At 48.5% G+C, this 14,072-nt stretch overlaps 1 long non-coding RNA gene across 1 annotated transcript, besides 3 other annotated features; it reads left to right on the top strand.

The window, feature by feature from the left end:
- Positions 1-630: 630 nt before the first annotated feature.
- LINC00887 (long intergenic non-protein coding RNA 887) lies at positions 631-12,236 on the top strand. Its single transcript, NR_024480.1, has 3 exons — positions 631-834; positions 7,408-7,678; positions 9,698-12,236. It is a non-coding gene; the product is annotated as a long intergenic non-protein coding RNA 887 (long non-coding RNA).
- Positions 4,021-4,070: an enhancer, noted in NCBI's record as "active region_21020". NCBI's record gives its function as "activates an Ori minimal core promoter by ATAC-STARR-seq in GM12878 lymphoblastoid cells {active_cell/tissue: GM12878}" and the evidence as "EXISTENCE:reporter gene assay evidence [ECO:0000049][PMID:35858748]".
- Positions 5,624-5,773: an enhancer, noted in NCBI's record as "active region_21019". NCBI's record gives its function as "activates an Ori minimal core promoter by ATAC-STARR-seq in GM12878 lymphoblastoid cells {active_cell/tissue: GM12878}" and the evidence as "EXISTENCE:reporter gene assay evidence [ECO:0000049][PMID:35858748]".
- Positions 6,284-6,523: an enhancer, noted in NCBI's record as "active region_21018". NCBI's record gives its function as "activates an Ori minimal core promoter by ATAC-STARR-seq in GM12878 lymphoblastoid cells {active_cell/tissue: GM12878}" and the evidence as "EXISTENCE:reporter gene assay evidence [ECO:0000049][PMID:35858748]".
- Positions 12,237-14,072: the final 1,836 nt, after the last annotated feature.

The raw sequence follows: 14,072 nt of genomic DNA, 5'->3' as shown, positions 1-14,072 counted from the left end.
GTGTGTGTGTGTGTGTGTGTGTGTGTGTGTGTGTGTGTGTGTGTAGACATTTTTTATTTTGTCTCTTTACCTCCAAATCCTATCTGCTTCATAAAACTCAGAGAAAAAGTCTATAAGCTCAGTCACCCATTCCAGGATCGCTGTCAGGAAATCCTCGTTCCCATCTCACCCGCATCCCCCACGCTGGAGCTTAAGTCCTTCCAGGTGGGGCTGGCAAGAGTCTGCGGGACTTACTCCAAGAGCCCCGGGGAAGCGGGCTGGGCTGTTTGGGGAGGAATGCTCACCCGGCAGTGTGCAGGCCTGGCAGGGCTGCCTCTAAACCCAAATTGCAGTCCCCAAGCACGTGCGCTTGCTCTGCCTGAGATCTCCAATGATGCTGCTTTGGCGGGAGTACTGATTCTAGCCAGTGATTTATCATCTGTTTACTCAGAGAAACTGCTTGTTCATTTCTGCTGGTGGGAAGGGAAGGAGGGAGGGAGGGAGGTGAACGTGTGTCCTGTGAGCTGCAGAGGTAGCCGGCAGGGATGACTTATACACTCCCCTCGATGGGTGACCTCCATTCACTCTTCCTCCCCGCCTCTCCGCCTGATGAGAAACAGAATGTGCTCCCTCCCCCCTGGGAGGCTTCAGATTCATTTTCTGCTCAGACACCGTTGCTTGCAAAATTCCACCCAGAAGATAAGGGAGGGAGTATCGCTGCAGCGTCCTGCTCTGTGCCTGGTTATATTACTGGATCCTTGTGTTGCAGCCCTAAGATAGAAGGATTGTCTCCATTTCACAGATGAGAGAGAACTGATGCGCAGGAGGCTGAAATTGTCTGAAGTCACACAGCAGGTGGGTAGAGCTGGGACCCAACCCCCGTCAGGCTGGTGCCAACTTCATGCTCTTGGAGCAGTGTTTCTCCAAGTGTGCATCTCGAACCACCTGCATTAATTATAGTTACTTCTTCCTTCAGTCTCTGTTGTTTTCAACAGGGAGTTACTGACCTAGGCATGGCTCCAGGCTCATGGGATTCAGCAATGAGGAAGACAGGTCCTGGCCAAAGGAGGCCAAGAACAAACAAGTATAAGCAATAAGTCAGCCGGGTGCTGTGGCTCATGCTTGTAATCCCAACACTTTGGGAGTCTGAGGTGGAAGGATCACTTGAGCCCAGGAGTTCGAGACCAGCCTGGGCAACATGGTGAAACCACATCTCTACCAAAATATACAAAAATTAGCTGAGTGTGGTGGTGCACCTGTAGCCCCAACTGCTTGAGAGCCTGAGGTAGGAGGATTGTCTTAGCCCAGGAGGTTGACACTGCAGTGAGCCGTAATTGTGCCACTGCACTCCAGCCTGGGCGACAGAGAGAGACCCTGTCTCAAAAAAAAAAAAATTAAAAAGAAACAAGTCAATATCTAACAGGTGAGAGCACTAGGGGGAAAAGGAGAGCAGGGTGAGGTGCTGGGGAGTGACGAGGTTGTATGTGTGTTGCAATTTTAGATAGAGTGGTCAGGATAAACCTTACACAGGTGACATTTGGACTGAGACTTCAAAGAGGTTAAGTGTTTTGCTATTGAACCTGTATTTCCTGCACCTGCTTCAGACCTCCTCATTCAGAACCTGGCAGGGAAATGAGGCCCAGGAATACGTATTTTAACAAATCCTTTATCCACACCGCAATTTGGAAATCGCTGCTGTTTACCCTGGTGCTTCTTCTTCTACCTAACGGGTCAGGAAATATGTGTTCAAATCCAGGAATGGCTTTAGGGATTCAAGAATGAAGCTGGAATCCCGAGTCCTGGTGACGATTCCCTTCATGACTTGATAATTGGCCAATACTTAGTAACTAAACCAGGCAAAATGCACCTATGACTGTGACTGAGTCTGGAAAGCTCTGTGCCAGGGCAGGACATGGATATGCAGTCACAGCGTGACACAGATTACTGAAGTACAAGTTGGTGTCTTGAGGAGTGCATAACTTAGAAGGCTTGGGTTCTACGTCAGGCTCACCTGTGGTAAGCTTGGGCCAGTCATTTGCTTTGTGGAATTTCAGCTTCCAGGTTTGGGAAATGGAGCTGTTAGACCTTTCCCTACTTAGCTTATAACACTGCCACTACTTCTACTACCAGCCAATCTATGTATCCATCCATCTATCCATGCATCCATCCATCCATCCATGCATCCATCCATGCATCCATCTATCCATCCATCCATCCATCCATCTATCCATCCATTCTTCCATGCATGCATCCATCCATCCATCCATGCATCCATCCATCCATGCATCCATCCATCCATCCATCCATGCATGCATCCATCCATCCATCTATCCATCGATCCACGCATCCATCCATCCATCCTCACCACCACCATCAGTATCCTCATTTCATTTTATCAGCATTTCTGGCATGGCCTATATTCAAACCAACAAAATTCCAGTCCAATAAAATAATTTGGACATGCCTAACACTTACTGTAAAGGAATTTGGCCTGAGAAAATAATGAAGAAAAACTGTATAGAGAGTAATTAATTCTCCATACATTGGATATCAAAATCTTTAATCTTGGAAGATTAAATCTTGGAAGTTCTTTTCAATGAAGTCCAAAGGTGGGTTCATGCCACTGGCTTGGGGGAGCCAGAAAAGTGTCTTGTAACTTCAGTTGCGGTGAAAGCTGCTGTGAAAGGCAGCTTCAGATTTCCCCTGATGGCGGGCAGCCCTGCCTCTGTGCCCAGCCCTATTAACTGTTGGCCTCCCAGTTGCTGAAGCCAGCCAACAACATCCCCTGCCATTTGAAGTGCTTATTGGAAAAGCAGATTTCATCTTGGCTGGAGCTCTGAGCAGTTCCTTGTGTGGGGTACTCCCCAGGGCTGTAATTGAACACAAGAAAGCGTCGGCCTACTTTTGGCATTCCTGCTTTCATCTCAAAGACACATTTAAAAATTTATATTTAAAAAATGTCAGGGAAAGGGGCCAGCATGGCTCGTGTGGCCACTGGTGCCAGAACACCCAACACAGCCGCTCCAGGAGCAAAGGCTGCGGAGGATGAGACAGGAGAATTAGGACCATACCGTGTGGCAGTGCTCCATGCCCAGCTTCCGGGAGCTTGCCTGTGTGGCCTGAACAGTGAGGTGCTTTTGAGGCTGGGCCTCTGTCTGATCTAGGCTTTGCAGAGCAGGAGTTTGAGGGTTCAGATCAGGTCCCCCTCACAGCAGTCCAATTGGGTGAGAATTTTCTAAAAGCTGGGGGAAGAGGGTAGTCCAAGACCTACTTGGACACTCACCCCAGGGTCTGGGCAGCCTGGCTAGCAGGAGATGCACTGTCTTCCCAAGCCCCACCTGTTGTGCTGCTGCGGAACGTGGTTCCAAGGGCTTCTATCTACACTGGTGACTGTGGGTGGGAGAAAACCACTGAGGAAAAAGACCTACTGCTCCTCTGGCAGGATTCTGAAAACAGTAGGTGTCTAACGGATGTATGTTAGCTTGCTCTCACATGTGAAAGGATTGCAGTTAAGCACAACGCAACCTTTTTCTACAGCTCTTAGTAAGATCTTCTCTAGGGGCCATTGTAAAGCTAAACCACGAAGCTTCATGGAGGGCTGAAATAAGATAGCATACACTCAGAAGCCTGGTCTCTTAGGGACCACCCGCTTCCCTGCACAGGGTTACTGTTGCACTGTCAGCTTGTGGCCCACTATGACCCTCTTAATCTTATTCAGGAATTTTTGTTTATAGGGAATCATCATTCTGTATGCAATTGGCTTTCCCTCTGAGTGCAGGATCCTGCACTTATTTTACACTAAGATCATTGATAGCTTGTGTTTTCTAAAAAAGAAAAAAAAATTGCATGCCTTACAACAAAGAAAATACATTCAGTAAGATTATTAAAATAGTTATCTTATTTTCAGGACCACAGGAAGAAGGAGGGAAGTAAATATACAAAACCTAAAACTGTTATTAAATTTAACTCTGAGGCTCTTGGCAGCCAAGACAAAAATAAAACAGGGAAAAGTAAGTGGATTTCTTAGGAGAGATAAAATTCACCTGGCTTTTGAGCTCTAAAAGAGATTTCCTAAGGGGCTCCTGTCAAGTGATACAACAGACCAGTGGGTTGACCCCAGTTTTATGCAAAATGGCCAAGTAGTTTTCAGCTGGATTTTTTTTTTTTTTGTCATGACCCTTAACCAGCATTTAGGGCATCGTAATGACTAGTCTGGGAAGTGAAAGTGATCTTGAGGGGTAGAATAGAATATAGGAAACTCCAAGAGAACTGATAGAATCATCTGGCCTGTTCATCATGCATTCCATACTTAAGGGTACTTTGAGTAGGATCGGGGGCAAAAAAGAAGAAAGGCTAACTGCAGAGGTATAAACATACAAGACAGGACATGTCTCAGGAATCATTAACGCTGCACCACACCACTACCCCACCCCACCCAGCAGAAAATGAATCGCCTCATGAAATCAGTGAACACCTAAGTTTTGGTGTTGGTGTTGATGTGCACGTATGTGTGTGTGTGTGGGAATGTCTGTGGGTATGAATGCAAGTCCTCTTCCCCTAGCCCAGCACAGCCCCCACCACAGAGCAAGAGAGCAAGGCTGTCAGCATCCTGAAATCAGCTCTTCTCTAGTTGATTTTGATAACCAGCCAAAAATGCAGGATCTTTTCAAGGCCTGAAGATCATTAACTCTTTGGAAGAACAACAGGAGAGTTTTTGAATGCTGGGACTGACAGCCTGTTGGTGATAGGCTTAATTACTCCAATTAAATATTCAGGAGCAGAGCCAGGCAAGCCAACAGAATTAGGGGAAGGAATCTTTGCTCCACGGCTGCAGAATTCCGTGCTAGACGGCATTGAGCTTCTCTAAGATGAACACTAGGTTCCCAGGCTCCCAAAGTCCTGACTTTTGATGGTATTTTCTCCCCTCTGGGAGGCACTGACTGTAAAAGATTTATCATTAACTGAGGACCTAGTGTGTTCCAGGGCTGTGCTAGGCCCTGGAAGTTCTGACAAACAAGTTCCCTTCTATGGAGGAAGTACAGGAATCGATTTCCCCACCCCACACTTATAATTACCAGACAGTGTAATCCCATGTGGGATAAGAATTAATAGGAAATCAAAGTTAATTCTCAAATTCTACTTTTCCCAGACTGTGGGTTTTCTTCCCTGGAACCGCAGGCCCAGTTTCTTTCTAGATCATGACTGGCACCATCACTGACCTTTGGGGTGTGGCATGACGTTGGCATATACGCTGTAAGTTTGGTTGCCACAAAGTCCCTTCTGAATTCTAATAATGGGGCCTTTCCTTCTGGGTGGAAAGTTTCTGCCATAGCTGGGGTGGGTCGAGCGTGGGCACTGAGTAGCCTCATTGGTGAGGGGTGGCTGCCCTTGCATTCTTCTGCTCAGTGGCCTGAGGATCGACCCCTGATAAGCCACTGCCCACAGCCACAGGACAGGACAAGCTTCCTGACCCATGTGGAGATGGAATCCATGCCCTATTCTCCTTTCATCGGTGCTCTAGCTAAATGAGCAGCTGACAACCCCAAACTTTATCTCACAGCGGGGACTCTCTGGCCTGTCCGAGATCTGCAAGTGGGGGGGATGGAGCTACAATCTGGGTCATGTGTTTATCTCTAGCCTTGGGGTCTCAGCCATTTCCCCCACAATACTTCAGTGTACCGCCATGCCATCAGCATCAAGAGGTGCTACAAAGAGGTTTGATTTTGTTCTTTTGCAATACACAGCAAATAATTTCTTTTCAACCCAGTTGTTCTTAATTATCTTCTGCCTCAAAACACCTGGAGGATTTTTGGTGCAGTCCCTGGTACCAGCAACAGCATCGCCTAGGAACTTGTTAGAAATGCAAATTCTGGACCCCACCCCAGGATTACTGAATCAGAAACTGGGGGTGGGAACAAGCGGTTTGGGCTTTACCGGGCCCTGCAGGTGCTTCTGGTGCAAGCTCATCTTTAAGAACCACTGAGTAAGAAGAACTCACCATGACGGGAGTTCTCGGTCAGGAGAGGCTTCCTGGGGCGTGTGCCAGAATCTCTAGAATTGAGGATGGGAGTGGCACACAGGTAGTTTGAAAAAGCCACTAAACTCATTATACTCTCTCCCCTGCCACCTTACCCCATTCTGAGAATCATTGATGTAGAAACTGATTTTGCATTGGAGGAAATGTCTCACCCAACTGCCTCCGTGTTTTGATGACTTTTTTTAAGCTTCAGAAAGTTCATTACACCATTGGGGTGACTTGTGTTTCACCTCAGATCTCCTTTCATGGTTGTATACAAAGAATTAATTTATACAAGCTGGGGCTTAAAAAGGGAGAAGTTTCCCCACAGTGGTTTTGTCTCGTTTGGCTTTTGCTGATTAGGAGTTGGTTGGGTCAAAGGTCCACCCTAGGAGCTAGAAACCCACCCTCGAACCATGTACCCCCTTGCCAGCTCCTGGGGCAGGGGTCTTCTGGCCCCAGCAAGTGCTCAGGTTAGGAGGGGCCCATGGATGGTCAGGAACGGCATGCTGCTTTGCTCATAGCCAAGCAACCGTGCGCATCTGCATGAGGATTTTTTTACAAGTTTCTTAAAGGAAACAGATGTCAGCAGCCTCTTTTTCATTGCCCGCAACAGGGAGAAGACACACCTAAGTTGTCTGAATTGCTTGCAAACAGTGGTAGATGTGGGCATTTTTTTTTCTCTAAAAAGATTATATTTGGGAAGCCACCCCCAGCATTTGAGGGGATGCTGGGCGTTTTAACAGTAAGGAGAGTTTACTTTAATCCACCTCATCTCGCTGCGATCTGCAGGTGTTCACGCTGCTTCTGCTTGCCAGGAAAACAACGAGAGGAAGGAGACTGGCTTCTTAGAAAGCATGTTTTCCTGTGGAAGCGGCCCACAAAACCTGCTTATCTGGGTGACAGGCTCCCCCTTCTCAGAAGGTGGTATTTCCCTTGTGGCTACACAGGCAGGAAGCAGGTGGCAGGGAGTGGACCCACAGCATCCCCCACAGCGGGCCCTGGGGTTGCCACCAACCGTGGCTGGGAGCTACTCTCCTTGATTGCTGAGTGGCTCTGTGGCTCTGGGGGCTGGAGTCAGCCGATGTGCTTGGCAGATCTGGAGGGTGGGGTCTCTGCTGACTGCGGCTGCTTGCTCTGGGAGTGGATCGGGGACTGATCCACTGGCCCAGCAGGAGCCTGGCTGGATCCCTCTTGCCCTGGGGGAAGGGAAGCCCGTTGTGTCAGGAAGACTCTGCCTGAACTCTGACCTTTCCCCTCACTAGAATGCAAGCCCCACAGGCAGCAGATCCTGTGGGTTTCATTCACTCAGATATCCCAAGCATCTTGAAGGGTGCCGGGCACACACTGGCTTCTCAATACATGTTTATTGACTAAATAATTGGATTCCTCTCCCATCTTCCACCCGCCAGCCTCCTCTTAAACATGACAAAGAATCCAAGGACTTGTGCTGGGGCTGTCAGCTGCTATTCTGGTGCCCTGGGGACGAAGAAGGGATCTGGAGGGAAGACTGTCACCCTCTTGCGAATGTTTCCAAGAAGCAGCTCAGCATGGGAGAGAAAAGGGGAGATCCCAGTTCCAGGAACACCTGGCCAGTGTTTCACCTGTTTATCGGAGTTGACAGGACCAGCCAGCCCTTTCCCACCTCTCCCCATCATGATGGATGGGAGCCTGGCCTTTGAGGTAAGAACAGATGGGGTTACAGACACTGGCCTTTGAAGACATCTGGAGCGACTGCTTCTCTGGCAGTTCACTTTTAAACCGGCACTTCACCCAGAAGTTGAAGGACCATCTGACAGATGCATAAGGGGTTTGGTGTTGAAGAGAGTTGGGCTAGAGAGTGTCGCAGAGCCCCGGGACTCCTGCGGGTTTAGGATTCTGGCTGAGGGAAGTGTGGCAGGGGCTCCCCACTCACAGGCTCCAGGCTGTGTGATCCGTGGCTGAGGACCCAGACCCTTAGACTTCAGGCACCCTGCAGGGGGTCCCATTTCAGGCAGGACTTTGCCTCCACAGCCCCACAGCTCTGCCTTGGACCAGAAGATTCCAAACAATTTAAACTACTAGTCATACTGATAGAATACTAGTAGTTTGCAAAGAAAAATATTCCCTGGGCCTTGAGGAAGCAGTTGAATTGTGATGGTGCCTATGAACATCCTAGGGCCATGTGTTGTCATTTTCAAGCTTCCCCTCTGCCTAGAGGTGACAACCCTGGTCCCGTGGTGCCCTCCTTAGTGAGCTTGGCAACAAATATGACAACATGAGGGTCACTAGGAAAGAGAAAAAGAGCAAAGAATAGATACAAATGTGATAGGGTACCCTGGTCTTCAATTAGAGAAAGCTGGTCATTTTACAAGAAGCCCTAAGCCTAGCCTCTTCTAAGCTCGGTGAGAGAGGCAAGAGCAGGAAAGAGACTGGCCAGAGGTCGCCCAGGGACCCAAGGAAGCCCTGAGATTTGATGGCTATAAATATAAGTGTATGAATCAGAATAGCACCGGGCAGGCTAGGCATGGTGGCTCACGCCTGTAATCCCAGCATTTTTGGAGGTGGAGGTGGGTGGATCACTTGAGCACAGGAATTCGATAACAGCCTGGGCAACATGGCAAAGCCCTGTCTCTACAAAAAGTACAAAAATTAGCTGGGTGTGGTGGTGCACACCTGTAGTCCCAGCTGCTCAGGAAGCTGAGGTGGGAGGATTGCCTGAACCCAGGAAGTCGAGGCTGCAGTGGTTGGTGATTGCGCCACTGCACTCCAGGCTGAGCAACAGAGTGAGACCACATCTCAAAAAAAAAAAAAAAAAAAAAGCACTGGGCATCTGGCCTGTGCCCATTTAGGGTGAGGTCCTGTGGTTTCAGGTACTGTGATAATCTGCCCATTTTGCCATTCATTAGCTCATCATCCAATATATGCCTTTTGAACACCTAGTACATCCCTAGCACTGTGCTCACACAGCGGGGCGATGGCGAACAAGAGACAAGGTTCCTGTCCTCATGGAGCTTACAGTCCCGCTTGCCTTACACGGACTCGCTGAGCCTTCTTCTCGGGTGATGCCTCAGCTTCCTACTTCACGAAGAAGATAAAAGCAATCAGAAGAGATGCTCACGAGCATCTGTCCCCACCTCACCCGCTGCCTCACCGCATGCCCGCGTTTTGTGTCTGTCCCTCTCCTGTTCTGTGGATGAACTTTTCACGCCATGGCTCAGGCCAGCCCCTCCCCCTGCAACATTCATCCCATGCCCTCCTGGCTGCTCAAGGACATCGCTCCAGTGTCTCCCTTCTGTCCCTTGCACCATCAATCTTTCCCTCTCTATGGGGTCTCTCCTAGCAGCATGCTACCATGTTGCCATCTCTCCCATGTAAAGATACCTTGTCTTGACCCCACTTCCTCCCCCAGGAGAATGGCCCCAGTTCTTACCACTTCCAAAATGATTGTCTGGACTCATCATCTCCAAATTCTCTCCTCCCATTCTCCCTTGAATCCACCCCAATCACACTGTCATCCCTGACACTGTTCTTGTCAAGGTCACCAATGTCCTCATTTTGCTAAATGCAGTGGACATTTCTTGGTCCTCATCTTGCCTGGCTGTCAGCATCATTTGACATGGCTGGTTCCTCCCTCCACGTTGAACACTTTCTTCACATCCACCTGCTTTCCTTCTCCTTCTGGCCACTGCCTCTCAGACTCTTTTGCCATCTTCTCTTCAGATTCCTGCGAAGGAATGACAAAGAACATCAAGGCTCAATCCTTGGAACTCTCCATCACTCATCTTTAAATTAGACTTCTCTGCTGACTCTCAGAGTTGTGTATGCTGAGAATCCACTGCCTCTAAGACATCCTGCTTGGCAGGTAACAGACATTTCATCCTGAGCTGAGCTCCTGCCCACCCCGCCCACACACAGACCCCTTCTTGCCCACAGATTTCCCATCTCAGCCAATGGCGAGTCCAAAAATCCTTTGTGTCCCCTTTGATTCTTAGGTTCCTATCTCCCTTCGACTGAGGCATCGTTTCCAAATCAGACACTTCTCGTCACCACTATTGCCCTCCCCTTGTCCAACCCACCTTTGGCTCTTGGCTGGAGTCCGGTGAGTCTCCTAGCTGGCTCTCCCTGTTCTCGTCATTTCCCAGTAAGTTCCAACCCTGCCTTCAGACTCTTCTGCACACAGCTTCCAGAGTAATCCTTTCAAAAAGTAAGTCAGATCCCATCTTTTCCCTCCCGTCTCACTCTGTCAGCCACATTCATTCCAAAGGACCATGTGGTCCATGTCCCTGTTCTCTCTGGTTCTCTCACTGCTCTCCTCTGTGCTTACTCTCTCCTGCCTCACAATGTTTGCACTTACTGTTTCTTCTGCTTGGAACTCTTTCCCTCCAAGACCTTTTTTTTTTGAGACGGAGTCTCGCTCTGTCGCCCAGGCTGGAGCGCAGTGGTGCAATCTCTGCTCACTGCAAGCTCTGCCTCCCAGGTTCACGTCATTCTCCTGCCTCAGCCTCCCGAGTAGCTGGGACTACACGCACCAGCCACCATACCCAGCTCATTTTTTTTGTATTTTCAGTAGAGACGGGGTTTCACCATGTTGGCCAGGATGGTCTTGATCTCCTGACCTCGTGATCCGCCCGCCTCGGCCTCCCTAAGCGCTGGGATTACAGGTGTGAACCACCGCGCCCGGCCTCCCTCCAAGATCTTTACTCACGTTGTCACCTTAGTGACGGCTCCCTCCCTAACCATCCTATTTAAAATTGCAGCCCGTTCAACACCCATTCCTCCTTCTCCATCCTTGCTCTGCTTCCTCCCTTTGACCTGTCACTCTTTAATCCAGTGGCATTCTGATTCAATGGTGACTGGGAGCAGGACCTAAGGAGGTGCGTCATCTGTAGAGAATTTGAAAATAATCGTGAAATAAACTCAAAGTGGGTTTGCTCTTTATGAGCCCCGCACACCAGCAATTCTAAATTCTGTTATCAATATACTTTCCTGCCAGGGTGGGCCGCCCCCACCGATTCTCCTCTATCTTAATACACTATGTGTTTCCCTTGTTTATTTTGCTTATTGTTCATTTCCATGCACTAGAATATAAGCTCCGCGAGGGCAGTATATTTTGTCTGTTTTGTTCACCACTGTGTCCCTCGTGTCTGCCACATGGTGTGTGCTCAGTAAGCTTTAGCTGAATGAATGAAGTGGTGGATGTCGACGTTCCCTTAGTTGGGGGTTATCAGGAGGGCTTCCTGGATGAATTGGTGTCTATATTGCCTGTCCTTAAAGAGGAGGAAGGTGCTCTAGGCAGAAGGAACAGCAGGTACAAAAGCAACTTGACTGTCAGGGTCATTAGCTAAGAGTAGGAGTCAGAGGGATGAGTGGGTGTCGTTCACCAGAATTTACCCTTCAAAATGTCAGTGCTTAGTAAATGAATGTGTTCCTTTATTACTAGTTGTTGGAGGGTCCTTGTTGACATCTTGCAGAGGTCTGGCTGTCACTTTTAATCAGAATGGCTATTCCCCACTCCTGCTGAAGAGCTCCAGGCCTGGCGGGGGTGGGCTGGCGGGCTGTGGTGGTGGTAAGGGCTGTCCCCCAGCACACTGTTAGAACTTTACTTATCCTCTTGCTTGAAGTGTGGGAGCTGGAGACCATTCAGGAAGCTGTGGTTACAGTCCCAGACAGGGTCCCTAAAAGCAAGGAGCCATTCCCAATGCTTCCTCCTTAGGGAAGCCTTCCCTACTTTCTCTTCCCTCTTCTGGGCAGAGTTTGTACCTTCCTCCTTTTTGCTCTCTGTTTATTTCTTTAATTTAACACTTAACAACATAATACCATCTTTATTTGTTCCATGTTTGTATCTTCTACTGAATGTGGCTTCAAGAACAGAAAGCACAGAACGTGGCACGTTGGAGGAAATCAGTAAGTGTTTGCTAAAGGTCCAACAATGAAACAGAACAGATATATCCAGTGCTATGCCGCGTCAAAAGAGTATGAGAGGTATTGTGGTGATGCTTTTGAATGCTAATCAGAATAAGGAGGGTGACTAGTCCATAGTTATATAGAATATAGGATATACAGAATATACCTTTTTCTGTAACGGGATGTGTCACTTAACTTTGTTCCTTAAAGCTCCAGAAGCCCAAGGTCACCCACAATGATTCAAGTATTATCAATGTTGAGAGCCTGTAAAAGCATCAAGTATATTATAGTTTCCAAAAAATTGTGAATTAGACTGAAAACCAGCATTTAAAAAATAAAGTGATGTTGACTTAAACACTGGTTTTATATACATGCCGCATATGAGCTGTGGAGGCCGCTCACATGCCAGCGTACTGGTTCATCTGCAATGGGCAGGCGGGCCATACCCCACTGGGGAGAAATCTTATGGGCTTCAGAAATGTCTAATGAAATAAGATTTTTAACTAGTTCAAAATCGGAGTTCAGAAACAGTTCAGTTAATATTTAAGTGTCGAGTTAAGAGAGGAGGTTGAACAAAATTCATTTTGAAGCTTTCACAGAGTTTTTAAAAAGCAAAACTTTAGACTTAAAATGGACTGTTTTATTATATGCAATGCACGTGAATATTAAATGTATGTTAAGTTTTTCATTTAGCAGATTTCTCCCCAGACTTTTAAAACCACCACCAAAAAATATTTACATATTCTCTCCTCTCCCCCAAAGCATCCCTCCCGTACACAAATACCCTTATTTTGAGACCGTGTTGCTCTAGATTAAACCAGTTCTTCCAAGAGCAGCCCGTAGGATTCTGCTCCATCCAGAGCAAGGCCCTTGGCTAAAGTCACTGCCTCTGCTTGACTGAGCCGGGCTGGGAATCTCATTATGGAAGCTTTCCACCTCCTTCCCAAGCCAGCCCTCTAGCGGAGGCCAAGATTGCGTCATCGGTCCTGGGCCTCATCCCTCCTTGCCTGAGGCCTGCTCACCTAATGTGTTTCAGGAGCATTCCAGCAGCCAGGCCTTCAGTTGCTCCCCGATCCCAGATGGGGAAAACCTTGTGCGGCACATTTGCCTCAGGAAGACTGCACTGGGCTCCCCGGCGCCCCTAGGACAGCGTCCCTTCACGTCGGAGAGACTGGGTGTGGGCCGTGAGGTTTAGGAGGCTTTAGGAGAAGGAAGATCCTCTCTCAGGAGTGAAATGATCTTATCTGAGAGGATGGAAGTGGTGAGGGCATCAGCATGGGTCCTGGGCTGCGGCTGTGCCTCTTCCTCCCCATGCTGACACGTGCTTGCCCACAAGCGCCCCGGGCCTCTACATCTCTTGGTAGTTTAAAGCTCTATTTTAGTCTCAACTAGCAGTTTCTCTCACTGGTAGATCTAAGTTCTAAGACTATTCAATGGGTTCTGTTTCTTTTTTTAAGAATTAAAAAAACTGTTCCAGTTAATTCACGGTCACTATGAAAAAAATAGGCAGGACATGTAAATAAAAGATTAAAATATATACAAATCAAAGAAGGAAGTACACCCAGGCCAGTTATCAGGCAAGCTTGCCAGACATCAATCCAGCAAGAAAACGATAGTGTGCTTTGAAAATGCCAAATCCGGCCGGGCGGGCGGCTCCCGCCTGTGATCCCGGCACTTTGGGAGGCCGAGGCGGGCGGATCACGAGGTCAGGAGATCGAGACCATCCTGGCTAACACGGTGAAACCCCGTCTCTACTAAAAATACAAAAAATTAGCCGGGCGTGGTGGCGGGCGCCTGTAGTCCCAGCTACTTGGGAGGCTGAGGCAGGAGAATGGCGTGAACCCGGGAGGCGGAGCTTGCAGTGAGCCGAGATGGCACCACTGCACTCCAGCCTGGGCAACAGAGCAAGACTCTGTCTCAAAAAAAAAAAAAAAAAAAAAGAAAAAGAAAAGAAAATGCCAAATCCGGCCAGGTGCGGTGGCTCATGCCTGTAATCCCAGCATTTTGGGAGGCCAAGGCGGGTGGATCACCAGAAGTCAGGAGTTCAAGACCAGCTTGACCAACATGGAGAAACCCCGTCTCTACTAAAAATACAAAATTAGCTGGGCATGGTGACGCATGCCTGTAATCCCAGCCACTCGGGAGCCTGAGGCAGGAGAATCACTTAAACCCAGGAGGCAGAGGTTACTGT

This window comes from Homo sapiens, chromosome 3, assembly GCF_000001405.40.
Source record: "Homo sapiens chromosome 3, GRCh38.p14 Primary Assembly".
In the NCBI taxonomy this organism is placed as follows: Eukaryota; Metazoa; Chordata; class Mammalia; order Primates; family Hominidae; genus Homo; species Homo sapiens.
The sequence above is the reverse complement of the archived record's forward strand: the minus strand, read 5'-3'. Positions and strand labels throughout refer to the sequence as shown.